The following is a 16,119-nucleotide window of genomic DNA, read 5'->3' on the forward strand; positions in this document are numbered from 1 at the left end:
AATTTTGATCTTATTTATTAGGATTTTATTTTAATGTGGATCTGGAAAAAAAACTAGCACATCATGCTCATAATTATACGGATCTTACTGCTTAGGAGGAGGCCTAATTAATTGTGTGCAATTAACAGCCGTTAATTGTGTTTTAGAGATCAAGTTAAAGAATAATCCTTGGTAAATCTTGGCTGCGGGTGACTGATGGAAGTTTCAGAGGCTGGACTGGAAGATGAAACTGGGGCAAGATGTTACACAGCATGGCCTCAGGAACCTGAGCTCCAGCAACCTGCGGGTCCCAATGGAGGCGAAGTCAAGGAGCGTCTCAGAGAGTGGTTGATGTGTGAAGTCTCTGTCTGCCCATCTGAATAACAAGAGATGGGGCTTGTGATTTTCCTCCACGGTATGTTGTCTGGTTCCTAATCCCCTCTCATTACTGTCAGTTTTAACTGTGTGTGGGTCTATGTGTGTTCACCTCTCATGGGCAGGGTGGCAGAACTCGCTAGGGTAGGAGGAGAGACCACGAAGTCAGACCTTGATTCCTGTGTGGACTTTGAAAGAGTTTTCTCCATGATTTAGCCTGTGGATTTCAGCATTTTGAAAAATTAACCAGAAATTCAGAAATTAGATGGAGACCTCTAGTGGAGGCCTGGGAGAAGAAAGATTGGAAGATTGGAGTCTACAAAGGCTGGGATAGTGGCATGTGGATGGGCTGCTTGGAGTGCGCAGAAGACACGCAGGCCTCTGTCTCATGTCGGGGTCCACCAGGGCCTCTGGGTGCCGCATCCGGTGGTGTTAGCTGGCCTCTCTCCTCAGTCACCAGTGCTCAGGCAGTGGCTGTGGATGGAGGAGCCAAGATGGCAGGGCAGGGTGGAGGCGGTGCATGCCCCTCACCAAGGCTGATGTAGCTGCTGCCTCCACTGTGTCTGTCCTACGCTTCTAGCCCTGGGGGACCAGCAAACACTTGATAGCAGGTTGATTACATCTGGCCCCTTCAATTGCAGCTGGAGGTGATTTTCCCTTACTGGAATTGACACCTGCTGCTAATACAGATTTGCCTTTTCTGCCTGTTCTCCTGCCAGCACCCCTACCTGAGGGCCTCCAGGAGGAATGACATCTCAAACAGAAACCTGCATAACATCAGCCCAAACCAAGGACCCATTTTATCATCAAAGAGGTGTGCCATGAATGCATGACTGTGGGATCCACTGCTTTGACCACATATGGATGACTTGGAAGCTGCCAGCCTACATGAACAATGGAAAGGCCATTGATGGCTCAGCAAAGTTGCCAGCTGAGGGCCAATGCTCCCCAGGGTTGGCCTCGAGGGTGGCCACAGTGCTGTAACAACAGCCAGTGTGGTGCTGAACCTGCAGCCTACCTATGATGCTTTGACACCAATTGTCAGGACACACGGGTCTGGAAACCAAATCTTGGAAGTAGGATTGGTTGCTTTCCGTGTAACTCCTAGTGACCCACTAGTAGAATTTTGCTTCCTATCCCTGAGAACTTATATTCCACAGGACTAGAGATCCTGGTTCCTGGGATGAAGCAGGGCAGCTTCTGCTGAGGTTCACAGTAAAGGTTCTGTTGAACCCAAATATGACTATCACTGGGTCCCTTTGGGCCCACTAGTGGACGAGCAGGCAAAGAAAGAAGTTACTCCACCATCAGGGGACAGATAATTCCAGCTCTCAATGGGGCTATGGTTGCTACCAGGGGACTGAAACACAGCTGAGACTGAGGAGATTGTCGGTGGCTTCTTCTGGTGCTTCCAAGTCTGGGGATAATGATGACTGGGCAGCCATCAGAGCCTGATAAACACAAGGCAACCAAGAGCTCAGACCCTGAGCGGTGAAAAGGCCAGCCAGTGCTCAGGCAGGTCACCCAGACCATCATAAGCGCTGATAGAAATCTAGGACGTGCGGTGGAGGAGGGAGATGACACGTCCCAACCATGGTCCCTGGTTAGCTGCAGGTGGCGTGTCCACCACGCCTTCTCTTTGGAGTCATTTGGAGATGGTGGCTGGCCACGATCTTGCAGGCTTAGTGACAGAACAATCTGAGAAGAACGAGGGGGGGAGCTGCTGCAGACCCATGTGGTGCTCTGCCTCATGCCCTCTCAGCCTAACCTCTAATTTCAGCAGAGATGGGGTGTGTTTCTGTTCCGTGGTTAAGTCGCTGCATGCTCACAGAGGCTTACTTCAAGCACGGGCTGCAAGGTTTTACTTTCTTCATCAGGATTCCTCTCATGCCACGAATGGGGAAAGTTCACAGTTGTTGGAGCTGATATTCCTAGAGAAAAATGCTGGTAAGTAAAGGCTCATACCTCCTGTTTTTCTTGGGGGGACTGTTCTAGAGCCTTCTGTGCCCTTCTCAGTATGTCTAAGCAGAATGGAGCGCCCATTGTTCACAGCAGTTTCCTTGGCAATATTGTTGCTTTTTCCTCCCCAGTCTCACTGTTACAGGTTGAATTGTGTCCCCAAAAAGATATGTTCACGTCCCAACCCTTGGTATCTGGGAATATGACCTTATTTGCAAATAGGGTCTCTGCAGATGTAATCAACTTAAGCTGAGGTTAGGCTGGATTAGGGTGGGCCCTTAATCCAGTATGACTGGTGTCCTTATAAAAAGACAATGTGAAGATATGTTGGGAAAAGACTGTGTGATGGTCAGACAGAGACAGGGATTGGAGTGATGCAGCTTCAAGCCAAGGAGCGCCAAGGTTGACAACAAATACCTGAGCCAGGAAGAGGCCAGGAAGGATTCCCTCCTACATTTTTCAGAGGGAGCCTGGCCTTCCCACATCTTGATCTTGGACTCCCAACCTCCAGAAATGTGAGAGAACAAGTTTCTGTTGTTTGAGCTGCCCAGTGGTGGTCATGGCAGCCTCAGGAGATGACGCACTCGCTCTTTCTGCTTCCTCTCTCGTGCTCCCGGGGTGACCTCTCCAATAAACTGCCTGGTCACAATCCATTTTTCCAGAGTTTTCTTTATTAGAAACCCAAGCTAGGATAACCTCTACGCTGTGCAAAGAGGGAGACACTGCTGTCTAAATGAGACTTTAGTTTTTGAATGAACTCTTTTTTTGGTGATACAGTTAATCATAATTCCATTTACCATTTTCTGACCGCCTATTATGTGCCTGGCACTTTACAAACATATCAAGTCTAATCTAGTATCATCCCATGTGGTAGCTGCTATTATCCTATTTTATAGAAGGGAAACTGAGTCTGATGGAGGTTGGGAGACTTGCACTATTTGTGACCCCAAATCTACATTCTTTCTAAATACCTAGGACCCAATCTTTGCCCAATAATTTACTTTCTCTGTAGGTTCCAACTTTTCTTTATGTATCCACCTGGATTAGTTGATATCTAGGTTTGGCTGCTGTGACAAAGACCAAAATATGAGTGACTTAAACAAGATGGACGTGTATTTCTCTTTACAGAAAGCTACATATGGGGCAGTCCTGCTCCTCAGGGCCCACAGAAGCTCAGATTCCTCCTGTCTACTTGCTCTGCCAAGTGTTGTTTTTGGTGGCTTAACGCCACTTCCACTCTCCAGCCAGTAGAAAGGTGAGAAAAGCGAAAGAGAAGAACAGAATTCTCTTCACTGCAGGATCTCCTTACATCCCACTGATCAGAATTTCCACCATGACCATGCCTAGATTCAAGGGGTGAGGTGAGGGGAGGAGCTGGGAAATGCAGTCTGCATTCTGTGCCCAGCTAAAATGTAGGGATGCGGTTGCCATAGAATCGGGGAAAGTGGATATGGGGGCATGGCAGCTGGTGCTCACGGGGCACTCTTTGCCTTTGACAGTGGATCAGGCATTATGCAGAGCACGAAGAGGAGCACATTGTAGTCTCTGACTTCAGAAGAAGCAGACAGCAAAGGTGGTTTCCTTCCTGGTGGAGATTGCCGATTGGACTACAGAATGGCGAGAATACTGTGAAAGGAGGAGCATAGAAATCCAAGTGTGATCAGTCAGCAGGTCTTGGCCAGGAGCATACACAGAATAAACAAATAAATAAGTAAAGAGAGGAAGGGGAAGTAATGTTAAGACTGTTCAAGACTTGGAATACAGCTCTCCTAAAAAGCAGTCCTTTGAAGTCTTGGGATACTACAGAAAGATCCCAACAACCACTGAGCCTGGTTTCGATTTTTGGAGGAAACACACCAGGTGAATAAAGCAGTGTGACGTGAGAGAAAAGAGGGCGGCAAAGGTGAATGGGATCCCAGCCTTTCAAGGACTTGGGCAGAGCAACTGGAGGAGGTGTGAGTCCAGCCAACAGTGTGGATCAGTTTCCTAGGCTGCCATAACAAAGCACCATAACCTGGTGGCTTAGAACAATGGAAAGGCATTTGCTCACGGTTCCAGAAGCTGTAGGTTAGAAACTAAGTGTGGCAGGGTCATGGCCCCTCTGAAACCTAGGAGGGAAGGATGCTTCCCTGCTTCTTCCTGCTTCTGCTATCCCCTGATGTTCCTGGGTTAGTGGCAGCATAATTCTGGCCTCTGCCTCTGTCTTAACGTGGTGTTTTTTCCTGTGTCTCTTCATATTGCCTTTTGTCTCTGTGCCTCTACCTCTGAGTCCAAATTGCCCCTTTTTATAAGGACAATCACATTGTCCTTAGTCACATTGGATTGGATTAGGGCCCACTATACAGACCTTGTTTTAACTTGATTCTTCTATCAAGACCCTGAGAATCTCCAAATAAGGCCACATTCTGAGGAACTGTGGGTTTGGACTTCAACATGTCTTTTTTGGGGGCCACAACTCAACCCATACCAGCTTGCTTGATGGATATTCATAGCTGATGTCAAAGTAAATTTAATTCTCATCCTCAGAAGCAAGAAAGATTCCACGACTAAGGCCAACAATAACATCCAGGGAGTTCGTTTCTTGAGCAACGACCAGCTCTTTGCATAGCACGAATTGCCAAAAAAGGCCAGCGTAGTCATTTCTCGGCCATGCACACCTGTGATGTGGCAAGCCATGTTGACGTGCCAAAAATGAGAATTCTCCAGTAAAAATAAAATAGAGTAAATTAGATAATAATGTTCCGAAGGCAATTTATACTTTTCTGTGCTTTGGGATTCATTTTCAAAACATGTTTCATTTGTCTTTGAAAATCGAAGTTCACGTTCAAGGCCCCTTTGAGTTTGCTTTTTGTCCAACTATTCGGGCATGCAATAGTCACTAATGGGAACTCCTGGCTTAGAGCCAAGAAACCAACAAAAGGCCCCAAAATGAATGCTTTAAAAGACTGTGCATGTTTTAAAGGCCTCTCGCCTATCAGCAAGCACCACTGTTTCTCCATGGACAAACCAGAGTGTCCTGACAAGGTCTCCTGTCCCCTGGCAGACAGCTGACACCCGAGGCCCATCAGGCTGGGAGCTTGCTTGTCTGGAATGTCTTTGAATGCATGGGCTATCCTTTCCCACTCCCCCATAGCCTCCCCTATCAGCCAAAGTAATTTGAAGATGTGGTGGTGTTATAAGATAATCTAGGATAATCTCCCAATTCTTGCACACTTCTCTGTTGAGAGGTCGGTTTATCGCTTCTTGCACACTTCTCTGTTGAGAGGTCGGTTTATCGCAGTTTGTTTTTAGGTCTATTAAGAGGTCTAAGTCCCCTCTCCCTGAATCTGAACCCTGTGAGTGCGTGGCTGATAGAGCACCTTGGGTGTGGCTGTGGTATAAGTCCTGAGGATGCATGTCCTTCCATATTCCCTTCTCTTTGAGTGTGGGAGAGTCTGGGAATGCTGCGCTATTACTCTTGTGATTTAGAGCAAAAGGGATATGATTTGAGTGGGCCTAGTCTAATCACATGGACTTTTTAAAAGCAGAGTTTTTCCTCCGGCTAGCAGCAAACAAGGAAGTCTGAGATTTGAAGCAGGAGGAGAATAGGGTGCATTGTTGCTGCCTTTGAAAATGGAGGGGCCACATGCCAACCAGTGCAAGTAGCTTTTAGAAGCTGAGAAGAGCCCCTAAGTGAATTCAGCTCACAAACTGAATGAGCTTGGAAGTGGAATCGTTCTCAGAGCTTCCAGAAAAGGACTCATCTGTCTAACACCTTGATGTTGGCCTTATGAGACCCTACCTAAGAAGAGAACCCAGTCAAACCTTCCCAGGCTTTTATGGAACTGAGAGATAATAAATAGGTATAGTTTTAAGGCATGAAATTTGTAATAGTTTGTTATTTGCCAATGGAAAACTAATAGAGTGACACTGTGCCCAATTCTAGGTTCGGGCTGCAAAAGACTTGTAGCTTTTATTTGTTTCTTGGGGCATTTGCTCCCGGAATCCAGCAGCCATGCTGTGAGGAAGCCCAAGCAGCCCCACAGAGAGGTCCATGTCAAAGAGAGTAAGACCCTCAGCCCAGCCAGAACCAAGCTCCTAGTCAATGGCCAGGACTGACTTTCCAGCTTTGTGAATGAGCCACCCTGAAAGTGAATCCTATAGCCCCAGCTGATCTGTTCCAGCTGACCCATGTGAAGCAGGACAGGACATTACCACTGAGCCCTGCCCAGATTGCAAAATAAATGGTTGTTCTTATTTGAAATCACTAATTTTTGGGGTGGTTTAAATAGAGGGCAAATTTTCTGCTGCTCATCCTCATACCAAAATTGCTAATTATGTCTCTAGTAATATGGTTGATGTCCAGGATAACTTAAATGAGACCATTAAGTGACAATGTGACATTCCTATCCAAGGGGAAAAACAGCTCTTGCAACCGTAAGTACACATTGTTCTAACCTGCTTTCTTCATAGGATTTTGTGAATCAAGGACTGCAATGGACAGAGAATGTTTTGCAAATTCTTAGATATAGGGGGATTTATCAACTTTGTACCCAAATATACCACCCTTATGAAAATGACAATAAGCATTGCTGTTGAAGGTGTGATGAAATAAGCTATCTCTGACACAAAACGTGGGATTGTAAATTGGCATAGTTCTGGAAACTAATTTAACTCTATCAATAATTTTAAAGTGAGAAATGTTTTGACATATAATTCTAATTAAAAGAGTTAAAGAATATAGTTAAGATATAATTCCAAGCCGGGAGTGGTGGCTCATACCTGTAATCCCAGCATTTTGGGAGGCTGAAGCAGGTGGATTGCTTGAGCTCAGGAGTCTAAGACCAGCCTGGGTGACATGGTGAAACCCTGTCTCTACTAAAAATACAAAAATTAGCTGGGTGTGGTGGCACGTGCCTGTAGTCGCAGCTACTTGGGAGGGTGAGGTGGGAGGATCACTTGAGCCTGGGAGGTCAAGGCTGCAGTGAACCATGATCACACCACTGCACTCTAGCCTAGGTGACAGAGTGAGACCCTGTCTCAAAATAATAATAATAAAATTAAAAAAATTAAAAAGTTAAAATGCAGTATTTGAAAAAAGAAAAAAAGATATAGTACCAAAGACAAAATAAAAGAAAACAATAACCCTCTATGCATACATAAATTCATCTCAGTATTATTTGCAATATTGAAAAATGGCAAACGACATAATGCTTAACCACATGGGTATTCTTATGATGTATTTAAAATGATTTTATGTTTTGTATCATAAATGTAGCATATTATTATGAAGCCATTAAAGCAATGTTCATGAATGGTTTTTAATGGATATGTAACAATGTTTATAATGTAGTGTTAAATTAAAAAGGATATAAAATTATATATACAAATTATATTCTACTATATAATACATGAAAGTACACATAGGTGTCCAAGTAAAATGCTTCTAATAGCGAAAGTGGTGCAACTTAGTGTTTAATAATAGTTCTTTAAATAATTGGCAGTACATCCATAAAACATAATATTGTTTAGTGACTTAAAATTATTTCATAATAATACAGAAACTTATGGAAAAACATTTAGGCTACTTGGTTAAGTGGTCATATTAGCCTCCCAGGGCTGCCTGGGAAGAGCTCCACAATTAGAAAGCTTAAAACAACAGAAATGCACTCTGCCACAGTACTGGGGGTCAGAAGTCTTGATTTCAGAAGTCTGATATTGAAGTATTGGCAGAGCCATGTTCCCTTTGACGGCTCTAGGGATGAATCTTCCTTGCCTCTTCCTGGTTTTTGGTGGTGGCTGGCAATTCCTGGCCTTCCCTGGCCATCGTTCTAATCTCTGCCTTTTTTGTTACACAGCCTTCTCCCTATGTGTCTTCACAATGTCTGCCTTCCGTGAGTGCCTCTGTGACCAAATTTCTCTCTTCTTATAAGGATATCAGTCATATCGAATTCGGGCCCACCATCCTCCAGTGTGATCTCACCTTCCTTTAATGAATTACATCTGCAATGACCCTGTTTCCAAATCAAGTCACATGCTGAGGTTCTGGGTAGACAAGAATTTTGGGTGAATACTATTCAACCTAGTGGATGAAGTGAAAAAATAGATTTTCAATATGTAAAATTACTTTTACTACTTCAATACAAAGTTAAAAATGATGGCTGTGTGCAGTGGCTCACGCCTGTAATCCCAGCACTGTGGGATGCCAAGGCAGGTAGATCACGAGGTCAGGAGTTCGAGACCAGCCTGGCCAATATGGTGAAACCCCATCTCTACTGAAAATACAAAAATTAGCTAGGCATTGTGGCACGTACCTGTAGTCCCAGCTGCTCGGCAGGCTGAGGCAGGAGAATCGCTTGAACCCGGGAGGCGGAGGTTGTAGTGAGCCGAGATCATGCCACTGCACTCCAGCCTGGGTGACAGAGCAAGACTCTGTCTCAAAAAAAAAAAAAAAATACACACACACACACACACACACACACACACACACACTCATTACTCATTATAATATCATACAGAATAGTTTTGTTGCCCTAAAAAATCCTCTGCGCTTCACCTATTTATCTCTCTCTCCTCTAGCTCCTGATAACCACTGATTTTTTTAAACTGACTCCATGGTAGCAATTGCATTTTTCAGAACTAATTCTAAGGGATTCATTAGGTGTATCCTTTTTGATTCAGTGATGCTGGTATTCGCCACCAATTGTAATGGTAGAAATTGAAAGCAACTGAATTTCGTCTGTGGGAAGCTACTTGTAAGTGATGTTATCAAATTGATGGGATTACACTTAGTCACTAAACATAATGTATTTACTGATAGGAAGCAAAGGTTTCTCATACATTAAGTCAATAACATCTGGTTGTCAAACAGCAGGTAAAATATAATCTTTTTTTTTTTGAGATATAGTCTTGCTCTGTCACCCAGGCTGGAGTGCAGCGGCATGATCTTAACTCACTGTAACCTCTGCCTTCTGGGTTCAAGCGATTCTCCTGCTTCAGCCTCCCAAGTAGCTGAGATTCCAGGTGTGTGCCACCACACCTGGATAATTTTTGTATTTTTAGTAGAGATGGGGTTTCAGTATGTTGGCCAGGCTGGTCTCGAACTCCTGGCCTCAAGCAGTGATCCACTTACCTTGGCCTCCCAAAGTGCTGAGATTACAGATATGAGCCACTGTACCTGGCCAAAGGATAATCATTTTTAAAAAACAAATATATGCTATGCTGGTAACAGTGCTTGTGTCTGTACGATGGTCTTATGAGTAATCTGTCTTAAAATTTTCCTCCTTTTTGCTTTCTTTTCCTAATTTTTCTATAATGACTGTGTATCACTTTTATAATAAAGAAAATCATAAAAGTTAGTCATTAAAAATTCATAACGCTTAACTATGGGTGCTACTGAAATTACAAATAGTTGTTATTTTCTTCTTTATGTTGAGTCTAATAGAAAACTGCTATTTGTATAGATTACAAAAAGTTAAATATTGGCCCTTTAATTTAACTTACTTTTAAAAATATTTTCTAAATATTCTACAGGAATCATATGCCTAAATTCCTCATATACCTAAATTTTTGAAATTCCTCAAAAGCCTTTTGTTAAAGGATTTTAAAAAAGATAACATCATGGTTCTCATACAAATCTAAATAAATTCCTGCCAAGGATTTAAGTCATGAATGAAGGAATGGGCAAGATGTTACAAGAGATTCAATGGAGAACTCAAAGAACACGCATATATATGCCATCATGGACGCTGAAAAATTTACAAATAGAAGCAAAATTGGTCAATATCTGCAGGGCAAAAATCGATGACTTCTCCCCCAAAGTTCACTTGCATTTCCAGGTATACAAACTATCTGCTTGCTCTCATCTTCCTACAGCTTAGAGTTGTAAATCCCTTAAGAGCAGCTCAGGCCCTATTAAATCAGATCACTCCACAATCTTCGCCCATTTCAACTTCTTTTTACAATTTTCCTGATGTTCCTTTTTACACCTGAAGATAAAAGGCAAACTCTTGACTGTGTGCTTGGGCCTGGCCCCTCTGTGGGCTCGTCTAAGACCACCCCTCACTCTCACTTCCTTGCATTCAGTATGTACCAGCCTCTTTTAACTTCCTAAGGGGTCCCAGGCCCCCTGGCACCCACCCTGCTGCCTCGATACCCATCATTCTCTCTGCCCCAAGAGGTGGTCCTCCCCACGCCCCCTCATCCTACCCACTTAATGCCTAAAATCTGCCCCTCACCTGAGTACAAACCCCCTTTCCTCAGGGATTCCCAGGGCCTCTCTCCCTCCATCAACAGTTCCTTCAGGGCCTTGACTGCAATTTAAATTACAACATGAATATGTTTTATGCAAATCTAAACTTTGTGATTTTAAAATAGCATAGGCTAAAAATGTTAGTAAAGTCTCTCTTTATGCTTAAACTTTGAAATAATGCAAATCTCCCAAATTACCAAACAAAACAAAACAAAACAAAACACACACCTCAAAGCAAAAGTCTCTCCCAGGACTGTACATTTTTAAAGCTGCATTTCAAAACCTGCACGTTGTGAACATGTACCCTAGAACTTAAAGTATAATTTAAAAAAAAAAGCTGCATTTCCAAAGAGTGGTAAATAGGGCTTCCTCTCTTGCCCCAGTGTGGCCTCTCTGTAACTGGTCAATAGAAACAGTCCCGGCCCGGGGTCACCGGGTTGGGGACCCTGTACTTGCTATGGAACTTCCGAGAGTGGCTATTACTAAGGCATATGCATTGTTGTTGTAGCACTCATTGTTATCATAACTTAACATCTTCCAGAAGCTCTAACAATATTCTCCAGTAGTGGTGCTGAGGCTGAGGCTGAGGCCGGGCATCTTGGTGAGGGGAGTCAGATGGGATCAGTGCTTTGCTGGCCAGCCCTCACAACTCCTGGTGCCGACTGACGCATGATGACAGAGGCCAAGAGATTACAAAGCACACAGGGCACAAATGCACTACCCTGACCTCAGATTTCTATTCCTATGGCACATTGTTCTGGAGTTATTTGAATTATGACTTATGCTAGGCCTGCAGAGACATGGCCCATGGATAAGATGCTACAACCCTGTGTATATTTGTGAGATTATTCGGCTAATATGTTGTCTCCCTGATCTGTCTGCTTTGTTCACCATTTTTCTTACCAGCTCCTAGTAGAAGGGAAAAAAATATTTCCTCTTGTTCGTGTGAAAAAAAAAAAAACCCCTCACCACTCAATGTGCTTTTTCCTGTTCTCTCATTCAACACCGTAACAACTAGCACAGACTTCTGGGTGGGGTTGGGGTTCTCCAACACAAATTGGCAGGGGTGGGGTTCTCCCCACCACCGAGCAAGCACTCAGCTCTGCACTGGACAGTGGCTGGGTGTCCTGCAATTCCATTCTGACATTTTCTACTTGGAGACAGCTCAGATCCCACAGGGCGAGGGCTCTGTTACACAAGACAGACCCCCTGTACTTTCCCACCGATCTGCATGTCCAGGCCTCCAGAACTTCTGACCGACCGGCTTCAAGCTGGAGTTCCCACAATCCCTTCTTTTGGTTTAATCCATTTGCTAGAATGACTCTCAGGAAAACACTTGTTTATGTTTACCGGCTTATGATAAAGGATATTGCAACTCACACCATGAAGATGCGCAGGGCGAGGGATGTGGGAAGGGGGGCGGAGCTTCCATGCCTTCCCTGGGTGTGTGGCCCCCCAGGAACCTCCATGTGTTCCGGAGACGTCATTGGATATGTATCGTTGCAGCGTGGACAGGTGTGTTGAAATGAGACTGGGCAAAAAGGGTTTGGTCTAAACCCAGCAGGGCCTGTCTGTTCACATTCTTTTGGCCTCTCTCTGCAGCATTCCTTCCTCCAAGGGATGCGGCAGGACCCTTTCTGGAATGAGGGCCTTATGACCCACAAACAGGCTAGAGTTCGGCTATGGGAAGGTGAAAGGAGAGTGGGAGTAGGTCAGAGAGAGAGATTCTGTTTACTCAAGAGAGTACGCAGAAGGGTGATGGGAGTTATGAGCCAGGAACCATGGGTGGAAACCTATTGTGTGTATATATCTATGTCATCGATATCTATTTCTATCTATATATCACACTTCTACTCTCTTACATTCAGCAGCTGATGCATTAGTCTGTTTTCATGCTGCTGATAAGGACATACCCAAGGCTGGGAAGAAACAGAGGTTTAATGGACTCACAGTTCCAGGGGGCTGGGGAGGCCTCATAATCATGACAGAAGGCAAAGGCACCTCTTTCATGGCAGTAGCAAGAAAGAATGAGAGAAGTGAAAGCGGAAACCCTTTTTAAAACCATCAGATCTTGTGAGACTTATTCACTACCATGAGAACAGTATGGGGGAAACCGCCCAACAGCCGCTTGATTCAATTAGCTCCCTCTGGGTCCTTCCCACAATACGCAGGAATTAACGGAGCTACAGTTCAAGATGAGATTTAGGTGGGGACACAGAGCCAAACCATATCAGCTGGCAACTGTGAATTAAAGTGACAAAACATAGAGTCACAGGAGAAAAGGCATACACATTTTACTTGATAATATTTTAATTTTTATGTGCGTGGAGGCCTTCAAAGAAAGTGGAGACCCAAACAAGTGGTTCGATTTGGGAGCTTAGATACCATTTTAGCAAAGGGCAATACACTGCGGAGAGGTGACAAAGGAAAAGGGGTTTGGGCTTCTAGGGGTGGACACTGGGCGAGTAGACACACAGGTGAAAGTTGTGAAAGATTGGGTCATTTTGCAAGGTTTAATCCATGCAGACTCATCTCGGTGCTGTCTCCTTCTCTGGTGATAGAGGTCGTTCTTATCTCCCTCATAGGAGGGATGAGGGTACATCTTCACAAGGGAAATTTATGCCCTCCTCTCTGGCAGATACGAGGAGGGCAGAAGCTTTTTTTTTGTTTTGAGACAGGATCTCACTCTTCTCACCTAGGCTGGAGTGCAATGGTGCAATGTTGGCTCACTGCAACCTCCATCTCCCGGGTTCAAGCAATTCTCCTGCCTCAGCCTCCTGAGTAGCTGTGATTACAGGAGCCCGCCACCACGCCCAGCTAATTTTTGTATTTTTTGTGGAGACTGCCGCCACGCCTGGCTAATTTTTGTATTTTTGGTAGAGACGGGGTTTTGCCATATTGGTCAGGCTGATCTTGAACTCCTGACCTCAAGTGATCCGCCCACTTCGACCTCCCAAAGTGCTGGGATTACAGTCATGAGCCATTGAGTCCCGCCCTCTTTTTCTTTTTTTCTTCTGCTTTTTTTTTTTTGCAGTTGAAAGATTTAATAGAGTGAAATAGAGTGAAAATAGAGCTCCCATACAAAAGGAGGAGACCCAAAGGGGGTTGCCGTTGCTGGCTCGAATGCCTGGGTTTATATCCCAATCATTGTCCCTCTCACTGTTCTCTCAGGCAACAGATGATTGGTTATTTCTTTATCTCCGTTTTTGCCTAATTAGCATTTTAGTGAGCTCTCCTTACTATCTGGTTGGGTGTGAGCTAAGTTGCAAGCCCCTTGTTTAAAGGTGGAAGTGGTCACCTTCCCAGCTAGGCTTAGGGATTCTTAGTCAGCCTAGGAAATCCAGCTAGTCCTGTCTGTCAGTCCTCTCTCTCAACAGGAAAACCCAAGTGCTGTTGGGGAGGTTGGCGATGACTGCTCTAACTGCTTCCTGCTGGCCTGGGGTGTAGTAGGGGTTGTGCAGTTGAGATTTCCTCAGGAGGGGTGCCTTCGATGTCGTTAACATTGGAGCATGGGCTGTCAGGGTGGTCCAGGGGTCCGCGGTAGATCTTAGTCATGGACTGCATCTGGGGCTCCATTTGAAGAATGATTTGTAGTTTTACAGCTTTAATTCTGGAAGAGACAAACTTAACAAGGAGGTTAAAGATACAGGGATTCAAATGTATGGCCTGGGGATACTTCTTTGGCACACTTTACAGGCCCCAACTATCTGCTTGAGAGTTTTGAAAAGTCCTGGTCCAGTAAATAACAATTTGGCCATCTGATGGGTGCTATCAATGCATAAGTGAAAGTTTTGGTGAGTGGTTTTAAGTAATTTCCATTGGTTAGCTGCAGGCAAAGGTATTTTTCCTTGTTCGGTGGCTTGCCATCCTGAGGGGAGAAAACTATGTCCTCGTGAGATTCCCCATTCTATTTCTTCTTCTGAATACTGGGGCTTGGTTTCCCAGAGGGGATTACCCCATACTAGGGGTCCTTCTATAAGCATTTCTAATGGAGGGTCCTGCCTTGCAGCTCTTTTGGCTTCAATATCTGCTTGGCGGTTCCTTTCTATTTCCCTTTCCTTTCCTTTCTGATGACCCCGGCAGTGTAAGACTGCCACCTCTTTAGGTTTCTGTACGGCCAATAATAATTCCCTAATGGCTTCCTGATGTTTGATAGGTGTTCCCTCAGAAGTTAGGAATTCCCTTTCTCTCCATATTACTGCATGGGCATGGAGGACTAGGTAAGCATACTTAGAGTCTGTATATATATTTACCCTTTTTCCTTCTCCTAATTCTAGTGCCCGAGTGAGTTTTGCCAGCTGAGCACTAGTTCCTGGAGTGAGGGGATTACTTTCAAGTATTCCATTATCACTGACTACTGCATACCCCACTTTTTGAAGTCCTTTTTCTACAAAGGATCTTCCATCAGTATACAAGTTAGGGTTGGGATCAGTCAAGGGAACCTCTAAATGGTCCCCTCGAGTGGCATAGGTTTGAGCAATTACTTGTTGACAGTTATGTTCTATCTTTTCTTCATTGTGTGGAAGAAATGTGTCCAGGTTAAGAGCTGCACAAGTGCACAGTCGCAGCATTGGCCCTTCAAGTAATAGAGCCTGATATTTAAGTAAATGGTTGTCTGACAGCCACAAGTCTCCTTTAGCAGTGAGTATGCCATTCACATCATGAGATGTCCACACAGTAAGATTTCTTCCCTGTATTATTTTAACTGCTTCAGATACTAAGACTGCTACTGCCACCACTACCCGTAAACAATGAGGCTGACCCTTTGCCACTACATCAATTTCCTTACTCAGGTATGCCACGGGTTGCAAACTCGTCCCTCAGACCAGCGCAAGGACTCTTAGAGCTATTCATGTTTTTTTTTTTCTTTGTTTGTTTGTTTTTTGTGACATATGAGGAAAAGTCTTGCCCCGTTAGCAAGCTTAGCACTGGGGCTTGCATTAGGGCCTTCTTTAGGGCATGGAAAGCTGCTTCTGCTTCAGGTGTCCATCTTACTAAATGGGTATTGGCTTTCTGAGTTTCCTTAATTAGCGTATATAACGGTCTGGCTATTTTGCCGTACCTGGGAATCCATATTCGGCAGAAACCTGTTATGCCAAGGAACCCTCTTAGTTGCTTTAGGGTTTTGGGATAAGGATAAGCCAGTATAGGCTGGATACGTTCCTCACTGAGGGCCCTGGTGACTTTGGATAATTTTAGCCCTAAGCATTTAACCTGCTGTGAGCAGAGCTGAGCCTTTGGTTTGGAAACCTTGTAGCCACAGGTAGTGAGGAAATTTAAGAGCGCTTGGGTGGCTTGATGGCACAAGGTTTCTGAACGGGCAGCTAAAAGTAAATCATCCATGCACTGAAGGACAGGAGTGTCCAGGTATGAGAACTGGCTCAAGTCTTGGGCTAATGCCTGGCCAAATAGATGGGGACTATCCCTGAACCCTTGGGGTAAAACAGTCCAGGTGAGTTGAGATGTTGGGTTTGAAGGATCTTCAAATGCAAACAAGAATTGAGAGTCAGGATGTACAGGGATGCAGAAAAAGGCATCCTTAAGATCCAGGACTGTAAACCACTCTGCTTCCTCTG

The 16,119-nt window shown here is 44.5% G+C and overlaps 1 protein-coding gene across 1 annotated transcript in view; it reads left to right on the forward strand.

Moving 5' to 3' along the window:
* IGSF5 (immunoglobulin superfamily member 5) overlaps positions 1-16,119 on the forward strand; it is a 90,311-nt gene that overhangs the window by 13,921 nt on the left and 60,271 nt on the right. The window contains exons 2-3 of the mRNA XM_047440699.1: positions 147-394; positions 1,074-2,301. Of these exons, the coding sequence (XP_047296655.1) occupies positions 1,932-2,301 (370 nt within the window). The 5' untranslated portion in view covers positions 147-394; positions 1,074-1,931. The remainder of the gene's footprint in view (positions 1-146; positions 395-1,073; positions 2,302-16,119) is intronic.

Source organism: Homo sapiens, chromosome 21 (assembly GCF_000001405.40).
Source record: "Homo sapiens chromosome 21, GRCh38.p14 Primary Assembly".
Classification (NCBI taxonomy): Eukaryota; Metazoa; Chordata; class Mammalia; order Primates; family Hominidae; genus Homo; species Homo sapiens.